General features: G+C 34.0%; 1 protein-coding gene across 2 annotated transcripts in view; it reads left to right on the top strand.

The window, feature by feature from the left end:
* Positions 1–17,616, top strand: part of VWA8 (von Willebrand factor A domain containing 8) — a 394,275-nt gene that overhangs the window by 160,253 nt on the left and 216,406 nt on the right. For both annotated transcript variants that reach the window (NM_015058.2, NM_001009814.2), the window contains exons 18-19: positions 13,314–13,420; positions 16,956–17,062. In NM_015058.2, the coding sequence (NP_055873.1) occupies positions 13,314–13,420; positions 16,956–17,062 (214 nt within the window). The remainder of the gene's footprint in view (positions 1–13,313; positions 13,421–16,955; positions 17,063–17,616) is intronic.

The raw sequence follows: 17,616 nt of genomic DNA, 5'->3' as shown, positions 1-17,616 counted from the left end.
GCTATTTGGAGTGGGAAATTTAATGGATCTCTTCTAAAACACGGTGTTTTTTTTTTTTTTTTTGGAGATGGAGTCTCGCTCTGTCACCCAGACTGGAGTGCAGTGGCGCCATCTCAGCTCACTACAAGCTCTGCCTCCCAGGTTCATGCCATTCTCCTGCCTCAGCCTCCCGAGTAGCTGGGACTACAGGCACCCATCACCACACCCGGCTGATTTTTTTTTTTGTATTTTTAGTAGAGACGGTGTTTCACTGTGTTAGCCAGGATGGTTTCAATCTCCTGACTTCATGATCCTCCTGCCTCAGCCTCCCAAAGTGCTAGAATTACAGGTGTGAGCCAGCATGCCTGGCCACAAATATTTTTTAAATGTGTGAAAATAAAGGCCATAGAAAAGCTAGTGATATACATGAACAAAATAGAATGAGCTAGATGTCCTCCCCATACACTACTCAACCTGGAAATTCTGAATAAAATATAATAAGTAATTGTTAACTCTTATCCAAACTCAAAAGGAAGAGCATATCAGAGGTATCAGAAATGAAACAGGACTAGGGTTACAGTTCCACTCCTAGGAATCTATCCAAGAGAAACAAAAACAGGTCCACACAAAAACTTCTACATGAATGTTCATAGCAATAATATTCATAATAGTGAAAAACTGGAAACAAATGACTATCAACTGCTCAACAGATAAAGTGTGTTTTATCCATACAATGAAATGTTAGCAACAAAAAGAAATGAAGTATTGATACATGTTATAACGTGGATGAACCCTGAAAATATGTTAAGTGAAAGAAGCCAGATACATAGGACCACATATTGTTTGGCTCTATTTACATGAAATATCCAGAATAGAGCAAATCCATAGAGACAGAAAGTAGATTGGTAGTAGCCTGAAGCCAGGTAGACTTGGGGGTAGAAAGGGAGGGTGACTGCTAGTGGGTACGGGGGATCTTTTTTAGGTAAGAAAAATGTTCTAAAATTGCTTGTGGTGATGGTTGCACAGCTCTGTGAATATACTAGAAACCATTGAATTGTATACTTTAAATAGGTGAATTGTGTGATATCTGAATTATATCTCAATAGAGCTAATACTTAAAAAGAAGAAGAAATGAAGTAAAAAGCAATACCAGAATAAGGAGAATAATAATGATATCATGGCTGCCAAAGAGGCTTTCAAATAGGAATAGGGCTAAGTGGTCTAATGCTGGATTTTAATATCTGTTTGGGGACAACGGACGTGGCTGCAGGCATATGTGAGGTGGAGAGGTTTTAATTAAGATTCCTGCATGAAGAATAGAGTCTGGAAGTGCTCCCTGTTCCCATAGACTAAAAAATGTTTGCCCACAAGCCCAGAGAAATGATGAGAAAGCTTACTGTCTCCCTGGAGCTTGGGGTGGGAAAGAAACTGTCACCATGAGGAATCAAATGCCCCACATTGCTCAGGTGCAGGTGTGAGGGTCCATGTTGATGCCGTCTGTAAAGGTAGTAACCAAAAAGTACTAAGTTAACATGAAAAACTTATCCGGGATCATTTAGTTACTTGGAGGCTTAGTAGAAAACACCAACCTTGAAAACCAATCTGTGGCAAATACTTTTACAAGATCAGTACACTAAATATCCTATCTGAATATTTGGTCATTGTAAAAAGTAATAAACCATATCTAGGGGGAAAAAACCATAAGAGATTTGGCAGATACAACATTTAGAAGAAATAGAACTTCAAGAACTAAAAATAATAGAACAATTTGAGACTATCAAATAAGTATGTTTAAGGTTATTAAAACTTACGAGGAATTAAAAACTGGATGACTGTGATAGAGGAGAAAATGAACTGATAGATCTGAAAGAAAAATCAAACAAACAGAACTTTTTCAATTGAAGAATATAGTCATTGAAAGAAAACAAACAAATGGGCAAACCATCAAACAAAATTCAATAAGCACTTAATTAGTAAATTAGACTATTGAAAAGAGAATGAAGTGGAGGGAAAATAGCCTGGGATGCAGCACAGCAAAGTGAAGAGATAGGAAACCTGAAAGGGTTGTTAATAGACATGTAGAATAAGATAAGAAAATCCAACATATGTCTAATAGGAATTTAAGAGGAGAGAATAAAGAGACTGAGGGAGAATAATTGTTCAAAGAGGCAATGGTTAGGAGAATTCCAGAACAGAAAGCAGAAAGACATGAGTCTACAGATTGAAGAAATATATCAGTTCCCAAGTAGGACAAATAAAAACAAATCAACACCTACATACATTGTGATGATACTGCACAGCATTAAAGACAAAGAGAAAAACTTATAACGGAAAAAGATACAAGAGAAAAAATATCAAGCCGACAACTTTACATCAGCAATAGTAGATTCCAGGATTGGATAGTATCCTGAAAGTGTTGAGAGAAAATAACTATCAATGCCAGAAGTCTTTGCCTAGCGGAATACATTTTCAGCTAAAGACTGAGCTTACTACGTTTAGTAGTTTTTTCAGCACTACTTAAAGAACTACTAAAGGATATATTTCAGTAAGCAGGAGACTGAATGCAGAGAAAAAGACTGGCATGCAGGAAACTACGGTGAGAAAGGAAATAGGCAAATATATTGTTAAATTTAAATGTATTGTGAAAAACAAAGCAATAAAAATGAATACCAATATAGGGAAGTATTTAACAACAGGGTGAAGCTAAAAACTTATAGAAACTGGAAAAAGAGATTAATGCATTCTTAGGTTCTGTTGTTTAAGAAGAGAATAGAAGTATTGAATAATTTTAGACTTCATTAGTTCAAGTATGTGTGTGTAAATTTTGAGTAACCACAAATAAAAAAGGAAATAAATCAATAAATCCAGTGGTGGTAGAGATAAGCAAATAGGAATGTTATACCTGTCAGCACAACATAGGTGGAAATGAAAGAAAAAATAAAGAGTAAACATGAAATAATGTTAGAAGTGAGCACAAATATTACACAAGATTAAACTTTCCAGATAACAGTTAGAGATTCTGATTAAGATTTTAAAAGACAAAAACCAATTATATGTTGCTACAAGAGTCACATTTAAAAGATAATATAGAAAGATCAGAGGTGAAGGTGTAAAAAGAAGAACAGGCAAATACTAACCAAAAGGGAAGAAATATATTACTATTAATATACTTCAAGGCCAAAAGCATGATTGGGGATGAAGAAGATGAACAAAAAATTCATTTAGTAGATTTAATACTCCTTAGCCATTTATACCTAAGAAGGAACACTGTATGACAGAAACAATCAGAATTGAAGACAGGAGAAATTGACAAATCAACAGTTATAATGAGAGTTTTCAAAACTCACTTTTTTCAGAAACTGACAGATCATATATTCTAAGAGTTAGTAAAGATAGAGATTTACCAAAACCATTAACAAACTTGATATAATGGACTTTATACCCAGTGGACAATGAATATGCATTCTTTTCAAGCACACATGAGACATTTGTACCATGTATCAAAAACTGACCATAAACTAGATAAAAAATCAGTTTTGTCCAGGTGTGGTGGCTTATGCCTGTAATCCCAGCACTTTGGGAGGCCGAGGTGGGTGGATCATGAGGTCAGAAGTTCAAGACCAGCTTGGCCAAGACGGTGAAACCCTGTGTCTACTAAAAATACCAAAAAAAAAAAAAAAATACTTGGGTGTGGTGGCACGTGCCTGTAATCCCAGCTGCCTGGGAGGCTGATGCAGGAGAATCACTTGAACCCGGGCAGTGGAGGTTGCAGTGAGCCAAGATCACACCATTACACTCTAGCCTGGATGACAGAGCAAGACTCTGTCTCAAAAAAGAAAAAAAGAAAAAAATCGGTTTTTCAGTAAATAGCAAAGAATATTTGTCATGAAGATCACATTCTCCAACCAAGAAGCAACAGAATTCATAGCAATAACAAAAAATACACTTAAAAGCCTATTTAGTTGGAAAATTTAAATCAGACATCAAAAGAAGAAATTAGAATGAAAATTGTGAAATATTAACAACTCTATGACCAAAACTGAATTTCAGTACTTTAATGATACACCTAAGGTAACTTTTTTTTTTTTTTAAGTTTTAAACTCACACACTTGAAAATAATAGAGAAAGAAAATTTGTGAGCCAGGCATTCAACTTAAGTTAGTAAAAAGTTACAGACTAAACCCAAAGAAAGTAGATGGAATGGAATAATGAAGTTAACGGCATAAATTCATGAACTAACAAACAAAATAATCATAGAAAAGATTAGTCCAACCAAAAGGTAGTTCTTTGAAAATATTAATAGATAAAGCCTTGGTAAATTTAATTAGTGTAAAAGAGAGGAAGAACAAATAAGTAATTTAATTTTGGAAAGGAAAAAGCATAACTGAAAATAAAGTCAATATTTATGAAAACTGTACTAAAAAAGACAATTTTCTGGAATCATGTGTATTACCTAAATTGGTCAAGAATGAATAGAAAATTCAAATCGACCCATAACCATTAAAGGAATAAAGTTGGTAGTTAAAAAATTTCATTAAAAAAGACCATTCCTGAGTGGTTTTATTGTCAAATTGTACCAAATTGTCAAGAAATTTAGAATCCCTGCCTTAAATAAACTTCCAAAGAATAGAGAAATGGTGAAAACATAGAAATTCACTTTGAGTCTAGTATAACCTAGACACCTAAAGCAGATAAGAATAATTTATGAAAGGAAAATTATAAATTATGCAATTACAAATGCTCATGGAGTGGATGCAAACATTCTGAGTAAAATATTAACAAATCATGAGCAATTATGAGTAATTTCAAATTATGAACAATTTTATAGTAATCATACCTTTTACTATCAAGGTAACATTATTGTGATCCTAGAATGAATCATTTTTAGATGCATTTTATTTATTTTTTTCTTTATTTTTCTTTCCATCAACTTCTGAGTTCTGAGGTACATGTGCAGGAGGTGCAGGTTTGTTACATAGGTGTGCCATGGTGGTTTGCTGCACAGATCAACCCATCACCTAGGTATTAAGCCCAGGATCTATATTAGCTATTCTTCCTGATGCTCTCCCCCTACCCGCCCACCTCAAGAGGCTCCAGTGTGTGTTATTCCCCATTATGTGTCCATGTGTTCTCAACATTCAGCTCCCATTTATAAGTGAGAACATGTGGTGTTTGGATCTCTGTTCCTGTGTTATTTTGTGGAGGATAACGGCTTCCAGTTCCATCCATGTCCCTGCAAAGGACATTATCTCATTCCTTTATGGCTACATAGTATTCTATGGTGTATATGTACCACATTTTGTTTGTCCAGTTTATCATTGATGGGCATTTGGGTTGATTCCATGTCTTTGCTATTGTGAATAGTGCTGCAATGAACATAAGCATGCATATAACTTTATAACAGAATGATTTATATTCCTTTGGGCATGTACCCAATAATGGGATTGCTGGGTAAAATAGCATTTCTGCCTCTAGATCTTTGAGGAATCATCACATTGTCTTCCACAATGGTTGAACTAATTTACACTCTGACCAACAGTGTAAAAGCATTCCTATTTCTCCACAGCCTAGCCAACATATATTGTTTATTGACTTTTTACTAATTGCTATTTTTCTGGCATGAGATGGTACCTCATTGTGGTTTTGATTTGCATTTCTCTAATGATCAGTGATGTTGAGCTTTTTTTCATGTTCGTTGGCTGCCTAAATGTATTCTTTTGAAAAGTGTCTGTTCATGTCCTTTGCTCACTTTTTAATGGGGTGGGTTTTTTTCTTGTAAGTTTGTTTAAGTTTCTTGTGGATTCTGGATATTAGACTTTTGTCAGATGGATAGATTGCAAAATTTTTTTCCCATTCTGGATGTTATCTGTTCACTCCGATGATAGTTTCTTTTGCTGTGCAGAAGCTCTTTAGTTTAATTAGATCTCTTTTGTTAATTTTTTTCTTTTGATGCAATTGCTTTTGGGTTTTCCTCATGAAATCTTTGCCTGTGCCTATGTCCTGAATGGTATTGCCTAGATTCTCTTCCAGGGTTTCTATGGTTTTGGGTTTTACATTTAAGTTGTTAATCCATCTTTAGTTAATTTTTGTATAAGGCATAAGGATGGGGTCCACAGCCAATATCATACTGAATGGGCAAAATCTGGAAGCATTCCCCTTGAAAACTGGCACAAGACAAGGATGTCCTCTTTCACCACTTTTATTCAACACAGTATTGGAAGTTCTGGCCAGGGCAATCAGGCAAGAGAAAGAAATAAAGCACATCCAAATAGGAAGAGAGGAGGTCAAATTATCTTTGTTTACAGATGACATGATCCTATTTCTAGAAAATCCCATTGTCTCAGCCCAAAAGTTTCTTAAGCTGATAAGCAACTTCAGCAAAGTCTCAGGATACAAAATCAATGTGTAAAATCACTAGCATTTCTATACACCAACAACAGGCATGCAGTGAGCCAAATCATGAATGAACTCCCATTCACAATTGCTGCAAAGAGAACAAAACACCTAGGAATACAGCTAACAAGGGAATTGAAGGACCTCTTCAAGGAGAACTACAAACCACTGCTCATGGAAATTAGAGAGGACACAAACAAATGGAAAAACATTCCATACTCATGGATAAGAAGAATTAGTATGAAAATGACCATACTTCCCAAAGTAATTTATAGATTCAATGTTATTCCCATTAAACTACCATTGACTTTCTTCACAGAATTAGGAAAAACTATGTTAAAATTCATAAAAAACTAAAAAAGAGCCTGTATAGCCAAGACAATCTTAAGAAAAAAAAAAGCTGGAGACAACACACTACCTGACTTCAAACTATATTACAAGGCTACAGTAACCAAAACAACACAGTGCTAGTACAAGAACAGACACGTAGACCAATGGAACAGAATAGAGAACTCAGAAATTCTAAGATCACACATCTACAACCACCTGATCTTTGACAAACCTGACGAAAACAATGGGGAAAGGATTCCCTATTTAATAAATGCTGCTGGGAGAACTGGCTAGCCACATGCAGCAAATATTCTTTTCAATTTATTTATTTATTTTTTTTGAGATGGAGTCTTGCTCTGTCGCCAGGCTGCAGTGCAGTGGCACGATCTCGGCTCACTGCAACCTCCACCTCTCAGGTTCAAGCAAGTCTCCTGCCTCAGCCTTCTGAGTAGCTGGAGCTACAGGCGTGCACCACCAGGCCCAGCTAATTGTTTTTTGTATTTTCGGTACAGATGGGGTTTCACCATGTTGGCCAGGATGGTCTCGATCTCTTGACCTCGTGATCCACCCGCCTTGTCCTCCCAAAGTGCTGGGATTACAAGTGTGAGCCACCGTGCCCGACCTAAATTTGTATTTTTAATTGACAATTTTACTATGGGCAAAAGGATTTCAACCTATGAATCTTAGGGAGGACACATTCAATCAGTCAGAAAAAGGTAATGTTTATTTCTGAGATTTCCTCTTTTCACTTCCATCTATTAAAACATATCTTTCTTATTTATCTCAAATGTAGGTATATTATATTTAAAGGTTCATGAGCAATTTGGAATTACCTCAAGAATGTCAAGGTTTGATATTCTGTTTTTTAATTCATCTTCTTATTAGTTGAGGAAAAATTATTCTACTAAATGGAGAAAAAGTGTTTGATAAAATTCAATAGCCAGCCCTAAAAACAAACCAAAGCAAAAACAAATATAACTTAGTAAATCTGGAATATTCTTAGTAAACTACAAGCAGAAAGGAAATTCTTTAATCTCATAAAGAATATCTACCAGAAATTTACAGCAAATATTCTTAAGGCAAAATACTTGTCACATTTTCTTTAGAGTTAGGACCAAAACAAGAATATCTTTCAGCACTTTTAGCAAGTACATTTGCCCTAGGTTATATGATTAGCTACATTAAAAATACAAGAGAAAATACAAATAAATTATTTAGAACAAATAGAGTTTAGTGAGGTTATTTATACTCCCAAATCAATGACATTTCCTATACTCCAGTAACAATCAATAAGGAAATATAATTTTTAAAAATTTCATTCAAAATAATAGTAGAAAGCTTTGCACAACTAAGAATAATCTAATAAATATCATGTAATGCTTTAATGGAGAAAAGTATACATCTTTATTCAAAGTTATAAAAGAAGACAAATAAATGGAAGATTTAGTATTGTAAAACTGTTTCCCTCCAAGTTGATATTTAGATATAATTAGTCAAAATCCCACAAGATTATAGTGAATTTGACAAGCTGGTCTCAAAATTGGCATGGAAGTATAATAGGCTACTAATAGCCAAGAAATTTTGATAAGATTAATGAGGGTATACTTAACCTATTAGATATCAATATTAATTCTAAATCTGTATTCATTATAATAGTATGTGTTGGTACAGGGAAAAACAAATAGACTATTAGAATAGATACAGAGCACAGAAACAAACCTACATATTTGTGAGAACTTAGTATATAAGATGTAGCATTGTAAATCAATGTTGGCTTGTCAATACATGGTTATAAATAAAGATTTTCCAATTTATCCCACACAAAAGGTAAAATCCAGTTATATGACACTATAAACTACTTTATAAGTTATAACCCACAAACTAGGAAAGATGTTTTGGATGATTTTTGATTAAGAAAGCACTGGCATTCAGGGACTATAAAGTAACTACAAATTAATAAGGAAAAAGAATTAACTCCAAATGGGCAAAGAATGAATAGATATTTATGCAAAGTTTAAATAATTCAAATGACCAATAAACATTTGAAAACATGCTCAGCCTCATTAATAATCAGTGAAATGAAATTTAAAATAATAATCAGCTATCATTTTATACTTTAAATTTTTTACTTGTAGTAACATTTTTTATGAATGGAGAGGAATGTAATTTCATCACTGCTGTTGGGATGGAAGTTTCAACAGTTTTTTTTTGCCTAAATATATTATTACTCTATGATTTGACAATTCCACTTCTCGATATCTGCTTTAAAGATAGACTTACATGTGTATATAAGGAGGTATATACAGGAATGTTCACTGTATCATTGTAATAATGAAGAATTGGAAACAGCCCATCTGTCCATCAGTAGGAAATGAATATATAAATTGATATATTTGTATGATAAAATAATTTACAACAGTCAAAATGAAGTAAGTTGCATGCATTTACAGTTATCTATCATAACACCTTAATATTGAGTAAAAAAGTTGCAAAAGGAGATTCAGTATATGATGTGATTTGTACAAAATGTTAAATGTGATAAACAGTACAATATATTTTTTATTCATACACACTTACGTAGCAAAATATAAAAATATGGACAACAAATACACACCAGTTTCAAGGTTAGAGTTCTCTCTAGAGATGGAGAGAGATGAATAGAATGTTTAATAGTCTTCATAATTTTCTATAATCTCTTTAATTTTCTGAAATACTGAAATATTTCATAATTAAAAAAACTGAAAAACAAAAATTGGTTACTTTTCATTCTCATACATATTCACTGAATCAAATAGTTGACTAATTTTTCCAGTGTTATCAACTGACCACAAAAAATTCTTATTTTGTAATCACTCCATGACCCTTTCAACTAGAAATGAATAGAAAACAGCTATTTTGTTTATGCATCATCTGTTGAGTTTAGCAAGGCTGCAGACTCAAAAGCCTTCTTACTAACCTTCTCTTTAGAATAACACAGTGGCAGGAAGGAACCCAAAATTATTGATTCATAAAGTATTTTATTGTTTTTTTAAAAAAAAAACTCATTTTATATTGAATCAGTGAAAAGGAATTGGATTTTGTGGAAAATTTTAAAACAAACATTGATATAACTTATTTTCACAAAGAACTTTATGAAGCAGACAAAAATCAAGATAAATTATCTAACCTAAATTTATTAAACATTGAGTTTATAAATATTAGTTGGGCTTTTTTTTGTTAATGTAATTTTTAAAATATCACTCATATATTTATGCCAATGGCATTAAGATTGCAACAATTTTTATCTGATGAATTCCCTAAGTACCTCATCCTCATACCCTATAAAGTGAACATCAATTCAGAGCTTGATGCATAATTCATTTTCTAGACATTTGTAAACCTGAGGAACTACAGGGAAGAATTTAGAAGATTAGGAAATTCTCAAGTAATTTGCATTCCAAAAATACTTTTATTGTAGAAAAATTAATTAGAGGTCTCTGTAATAAGAGTTCTACTTCACTCAAGTGTTTGGTATTTCATTAATTTATTTACTTCTGGAAAATTTTGAGGTGATCCTCAAAATTCAATTCTATGCTGATCCTTTAGCACAGAAATTTTAGACACAGTTGTAAGAGTTTAATCAGAAATGAAGATTAACTGTTTCTGATATTGAAGTAATGAGGAAATTATTCTATTTGTCAAAAACTCAATTTGCATGCAGTTGTCAGAAATTCCCTTTGGATATAAAATATTTGGGATCAACACCTATGGATAAATAAATAAATAAGCAAAGTGAGTAACATCTATATAAAATTTTCACTGTTTAAGCTGTTAGTAATTAATTTTAAAAATCACAAGTCTGATCGAACTAATCATACACAGTGTTAAAACTAGAAGATTATTGTTGGTGTGAATTTTTTGTTGTCTGGAAGAATCGTTTTGCTTGCAGGAAAGACTATTTGGGGATTTATTTTTGGTTTTAGAAGCTGGCATTCAGTTTTATGGTGTTATAATTTAAAAAATTGAGACCTTCTTTAGGCTTTTCTGTTCATTCATTCAGTTAACTATGTAAGTCTAGCAGATATTAACCATCACTTTGAAAAGCCTTTGAAAAATGTCTGGTTCCATTTATAAAACTCGGCTAAATAAAATACCTTCAAACATTTGAAATGGTTAATAAATTTTATATATTGTTTCCTTTTACATACTTTGGATGTCTCAATGAACAAACAAAACCTTCCTGAGTAATTAAGGCACAAATATAGTCAATTAAATTTATAAATAGGCTGTACCATAAATTATCTTAAATATTCCAATACTATTTGGAAATTTAAGATTTAAAATCACAAGTACAAATTAATTAATCAATTACATTCTGAATAGAAGTCAAAGACTGCCTAGTATCCACAGAACCCCTCAGTCTTTTTCTTTCACTCTTGCAAGTAACACCCCTCCTTCCTAGCGCTGGTGATGTGAGAATACCCCGACCCTTAACAGACTTCTTTGCTACCATCCTGAGAAGTCCTATCTTATTCCTTAATCTAAAGATCCTATCCCACTCCTGTGACAAAGACAGTTATTTGCGTTAGCTTAGTGTAACTACTATACTTCTCTTTTTGACTTTCCCAGAGTGTAGCTGAATCTTTCTTTAGTTTTTCTTATAACCAAAACCTAATGAGACTAGAGCTTTTCCAATTTTTTTTTGTTGGTAAAATGAATAAATATGATAAATGTAATAATTACTTTTAAAAGACACCAGGCTGTTCATAATAGTTATAAGTACACTTGGAAAATTTGCAACAGGGTATGTGCTTGCTTTGGTTTTGGGAAGCTAGGATAGTAAAGAGTAATATTTCATTCATTCATTTATTTGCTTATTTTACCAAGGCCAAGGGAGGAGAGGGAAAAAATAAGTAAAAAATATCAGTGAGCAATGGGAAAGGAAACAGTTAACAAATCCCTTAAAATCCAGGAAAAAAATTAGGATTGGCCTTACACCGCCTGATATGTTCCATTTTCCTCATTTGTTGGATGGGCCAGTATCTTAGAATGTTCTAGATGTAAATATATTTCAACTTCCTTGGTACCTTGATTGATATTGCTGTCTGGGTGCTAGATTGAGAATAATGGTGAAGTGTGTTCAGTCTCAGAAGGAAAGAATGCCCTATTAGCAAGCAATGCCTGCCAATATTGGTGAAGGGAAGGCATCCGTGCCATATTTGCTATTCTCTGCAGGCTTTGGAGTGTAATCTAGAAATGTTTCCACACAGGGCCAACATTAAGATGTGTTGACACGCAGACTATATACGTGTTGGGGAAGCCTGGGAATAGCCAACAAGTCTAAGCCTGAAAATAGTCAATGCCAGTCAGGGTGTTCTGACAGGAAGTAATAGGGATGCAGCTGCAGGGCCTAATGTTACCAAGCCAGCCTCTGGTTTGTGGGATAGTGGTAAGAGGAAGGTTAAGCAGGGTGCCAAGACAAGGGCTCAGGAAACAGGACAAAAGCCAGCTATTGGACTGGGAGATAAGGTGAGGGCTTGGTTTTTGAACGAGGCAGTGATCTAAGAACTATGACGAAAGTTCAGAGATGAGCAGCAAAGTCTGACTTCATGCTGAACTGAGGAGTTACTAGCATAGAGCTATGTAATTTCCTCTATCATAGCCTAGGCCCAAAATGAGGCAGGAGGTAAGAGATAATAATGTCAGATATATGGACTGGAATTTTACAGGGACAGGAAATCTGACAGTTCTTTACATGCTTGTCTATTTGCTGCCTCATGCTCTCCAATCTTTCCACTATTAGAGATTATACTCAAGACTGTAGGAATCACCACCAAAGATTTAGAGCTGTGAAAAACCCAAATTGTTTAAAAGTGGTATGTTCTTAGTATGTTTATTTGGAACGTTATATCACATAGTGGTTAATTTAAAGTGGTATAGTTAAACCATGGGTACCATGGATTAAAAGTCATATCCGTTGGCTCACTTGGGACCATAAATTCTAGCTATAGCTTTATTTGTGTAGGTGGGAAACTATGTTTCATGCCTCAGGCACATGATGCTCATAATCCGTTTGTTTGAAGAATAACTGTCACTCACTAGATGGTTGTTTTGACAACATACACATAGAATAGATAAGCAGATATATTTTTTAATAGGAAGAACGAAGCTAGATAATGTTAAATTCATTCAGAAGCTTATGTTAGAAACTAAAGAAAATCTCATTAATCCATCTCCACTGGTTTGAATTTATGATTGCCAACCTAGAACAGCCAAGTGTTGTTGTTTAATCTACTTAAGAAAATTTGATAAGCCAGTATACTAATTGTACTTAAGAAAGCAAATTTTAAATTTTATTTTGCAAAGTGTTGTACATAAATCAGTACTGCTAATTACAAATAAGTTTTACTTATTAAAGGAGATTCCACAAACATATAATTCACACGTACATTAAGTTTATATTTATTCTAAAATTTTGTTTGATTTAGATTTTACAGATCCAGACTGATCTTCCTTAATTAGTTGTAATTAGTAAGGAGTGTGTGTGTGTGTGTGTGTGTGTGTGTGTATTTAAGAATCGCAGAAAGCTTTGACTTAAGCCATTTCCCCCTTCCTCCCTCTTCATCCTCCAGGTTTTTACCCAGTCTTGCTAGGTCAGCATTAGAAAAAAATCTGGCAGATGCTACAATAGAAATAAATACTGATGACAATTTGGAGCCAGAACTGAAGGATTACAAATGTAAGTATTTGATTTGGCTCTTTTTTTTAAGTGAAATAATAATTAACAAACATTTGATGCTGTTTATTTTAATTCCAGTTAAAATAAACAGTTAAACAGTTTTTGGTTTTCATCTACTTTGTTTTATATATTAGTTTGAAGAAATGAATCTGATTTTTTTAAGTTTGAAAAACACAAGTAAAATCTTAGAATATTTACTTCATTTCAGTACATACTAGATACAATTCCCCTCACCCTTAAGACTCACAATTGATACTAATTGATACTCTGAGAATTCCTGCTGTAAATCAACTTGTCTAATTTTGAGAAATGTACTTTTTCCAAATGTATTTCACCAGTGAATCTAGAATGCTGTTTTCTTTGCATGTTTACATTTTGAGGGTCAGCGATGTCCTATAAGATATGTTGGAGAAACTTTCCTAGGTTGATACAAACTAAAATAATAATCAGAATATGCATGCCCTCTTATTCATTCCATTTCCACCTGTATTGTCTTTTGTGGTACTTTTCTTCTGGATAGCCATAAATATAATTTTCAGTTTCGGGGAGATTTAGTTCTTCATTTAAAAGCTTTCTATTCTTCAATTAGAACACAATGAAAGATTTTCAATTTTTTAAAAATGTAAATACCTATTTTATTGAAGCAGCCAATGTGTGACTACTCTTTAAAAGGGACTGTTGTGGCTTTCTTTGTAGCAGATGCTTTTAATCATTAGGGCTGCACTGAGACAAGAATTTGGTATTGAGGAAATAAGATTTTTTTTAGAGTCAAATTATAAACTCAGCATACTGAGGGATCTGAATACAGATACGCAGAGTCAACTCAAAGAGAAGGAATAATATTGTATTCTCAATATTATTTGAGTGAGTCTATTAAATATCCAAAGAACGACTGTCATTCAGACTGCCGATTGTTTGGTCTTGGTTACTGGCTAGTGTTAGCAGTGCCCATCTAAGCCTCATGTAGGGGATAAGGAGCCTAAGTGAAGAGACTTTTTACTTGTCTGGTTCCATTCATCTTTAAGGCCATCTCTCTTATGAAGAATTCATTTAATTAACTCTCCGTGTTCACACAACAATCTTCTGATGAGGTACTGGCTTTCCATGCAGGTTCCCTTCAATTAATATGCTGGTTATGGCAACCAGTATATCATAGTCCATGTGAAAGTTACAGTTGTCATATAATATTTTGCAATTCTGATTTTACATCATTATATATATAGAGAAACCAGAATATGTATCTTTAATATTCTCCTGAAAGTTAGATTTGCCCTTAGTTGTGATGACAAAATCAGGTTTACAGCCTACTAGGCTGAGAAACTTGACAAATGTACCAAAATAATGCCATTCTGTGGGTTTCTTAGAAGATAGCTAGCCAACTTTCTCCCACAGAAGTGCTAGCATCACCATTCTCTGAGTGCATTTCCCTTTTTGAGGTTGACATTTTAACAATAAACATTGGATGAGTGAATAAACTTGTCCTTAAGCCGTAAATCTGCTGAGTGGATGTATTCCGTAAACTAAACCATAGATAGCATCAGATGCTGTTTGAATCTGAAATTATGTGTGTCATCTCAACATGCAACTAGATAGTAGATTCACTGCCATATCCCTGCTCTTTCTTTCCCTTTACAGTTTTATACTGGGTCTATTTCAGAGACCTAATGGTGGTAAATAAATAGTAAACTCTCAGTGTTACAGCTCATGGTTTTCCTTCCCTGTAGAACTTGTAAACAAAAGGAAAATGGCAAGGATCTATTGAAGGGCGAAGTTACTGTTAAGATCTACTGTGCTGTGTCAAATGTGTAGCACTCCACAGTGATTAAACAGGATGACAATTATTTTTAGCTCAGATTTGTTCACAGCACTCCATAGAAGCAAAAGTTGCTTTTCTCCATTGTCTTCCAAAACGCTTAGCACAAAAGTCGCATTCTAGTGGAGAAACAAACTGTAATTTTCTTACTTGAAGTAGAAAAAAAAAAAGATGGGTGAATTGTTTAAGGCGTTGTATATTTGCTTGCTAAGGTATTTCCACAGGTTGCAATGTTATTTGGAGTCAAAATATTAAATATATCCCATATGGTAGAAAGAATGTCAGACTAGACTAAATTGTTTTAAGCTCTACTCATATTAGCTGGGTGATTTTGAGCAAATTACATAGTGTATGTTCTTAGTATTCTCATTATTCTTTCCTCTTTGAATTGCATGAAGTCATATGAGAAAAAAATGAGGTGAAGCTTTAGCTTGGGATCTGGCACATAGAAGGTCCTTAATAAATGATAGCTTCTATCATTGTAATCATTAGTATTACTAAAATACCTACTACTATTAATGTTATTAATATTATTGAACTTGGAACATGTCAGTGAACATGTCATGCATATCTGGTTACTGTAGGGAATACATAGCAGATATGTTCCCTGATTTCAAGAGCTTTATTACTTAGTTTTCTGGCTTCCAGGAACTAATAATGTATTCTAGGTCAACCTATTTAAAGCAAATAAGGAACAATATAATAATTATTATTACAAAATAATTGCATAAGACAGTTTCCCAATCTGGCTGGGTATGAAAATCACCTGGGTGATTATTTGAAAATATAGGCCTCCTGGACCAACCTCGAAAATAGTAATTTTAAAATATTTATTTTGTTATGTTTTAGTGTGTGTGTGTGTATATATATATATATATATATATATGTGTGTGTATATATATATATATATATATATATATATATATGTATATGTATATGTATAAAGAGAGAGAGAGAGAGAGAGACAAGGTTGCACTCTGTTACCCAGGCTGGAGTACAGTGGTGCAATCATGGCTCACTGTAGCCTCAACCTCCAGGCTCAAGCAATCCTCCTGCCTCAGCCTCCTGAATAGCTGGGACTACAGGCGTATGCCATCAGGCCTGGATAATTTTTAAAATTTTTTGTAGAGACAGGGTCTCTCTGTGTTACCCAGGCTGGTCTTGAACCCCTAGGCTCAAGTGATCCTTCTGCCTTGGCCTCCTGAAATGCTGGTGACAGGCATGTGCCACTGCACTTGGCTGAAAATAGTAATTTAAGAGTTCTGTGGTAGGTTAGTTCATCTGTATTTTTGACTAGAGCTATAGGAGATTATCTTAAGGGGTTTCTAAATTGGTGCACACTAAAAGATAATATTCAAGGTACTTTGGAGCTTTTGAATTTAGGTGTATTTAACTTATGTATGTGTTATAGTTTCTGACCAAACAAGCTTGTGAAGGTGGCTTGACTGTATTCTGGTTTTTTGTTTTGTTTTTTTTTTTAGTTTCTCACAATTATATATATACTGTTTTCTATCTACATTGTTTTAAAGAAAATTTGTTACCTTTTGAAGCATTTTGTATCTAGAGCTGTGGTGTTTTATTACTACTCTCCAGCTTATTTCTTTAGATGTTAAATTAAAATCCACAGATATTACTGAAGCTGTATTGCATTCTGTGTTGGGTGGCTTGGCATCTCTGAGGACAGTGCTATGAATAATTATCCGTCCTGTGTGAAATGTTTAGGTGAAGTAACATCTGGAACTCTGAGGATTGGTGCTGTTAGTGCACCGATCTATAATGCACATGAGAAAATGAAAGTGCCTGATGTTCTTTTCTATGACAACATTCAGGTAAGAGTATTGCTTTGTGTTCTTGGATAAATCACTTAAATTGTGGTAGTACACTCCAATTCAAGTGAAATTGACATGTAATTATTTTTGTGATTTCCTAAATTTAATTTAGATGATGCAAAATGAAGTGTTGAACATCTTTTTTTTTTTTTTTTCTGTGATGCAGTCTCACTTTGTCACTCAGGCTGGAGTGCAGTAGCACGATCTCGGCTCACTGCAACCTCCACCTCCCAGGTTCAAGCGATTCTTCTACCTCAGCCTCCCGAGTAGCTGAGACTAGAGGCATGTGCCACCATGCCTGGCTAATTTTTGTATTTTCAGTAGAGACAGGGTTTCACCATATTGGCCAGGCTGGCCTCAAACTCCTGACCTCGTGATCCACCTGCTTCAGCCTCCCAAAGTGCTAGTATTACAGGCGTGAGCCACCATGTCTGGCCGAACAACTTTTATTAAGACATAAGACAGAAAACAGAAAATTTTTTCCAAAGGTACTTAAAAATTGGAGGAATGGTTGCTATGATTAGGGTAATAAATTTTATATATATTAAGTATAT

This window comes from Homo sapiens, chromosome 13 (genome assembly GCF_000001405.40).
Source record: "Homo sapiens chromosome 13, GRCh38.p14 Primary Assembly".
Classification (NCBI taxonomy): domain Eukaryota; kingdom Metazoa; phylum Chordata; class Mammalia; order Primates; family Hominidae; genus Homo; species Homo sapiens.
This window is presented reverse-complemented; position numbering and strand designations above follow the sequence as displayed.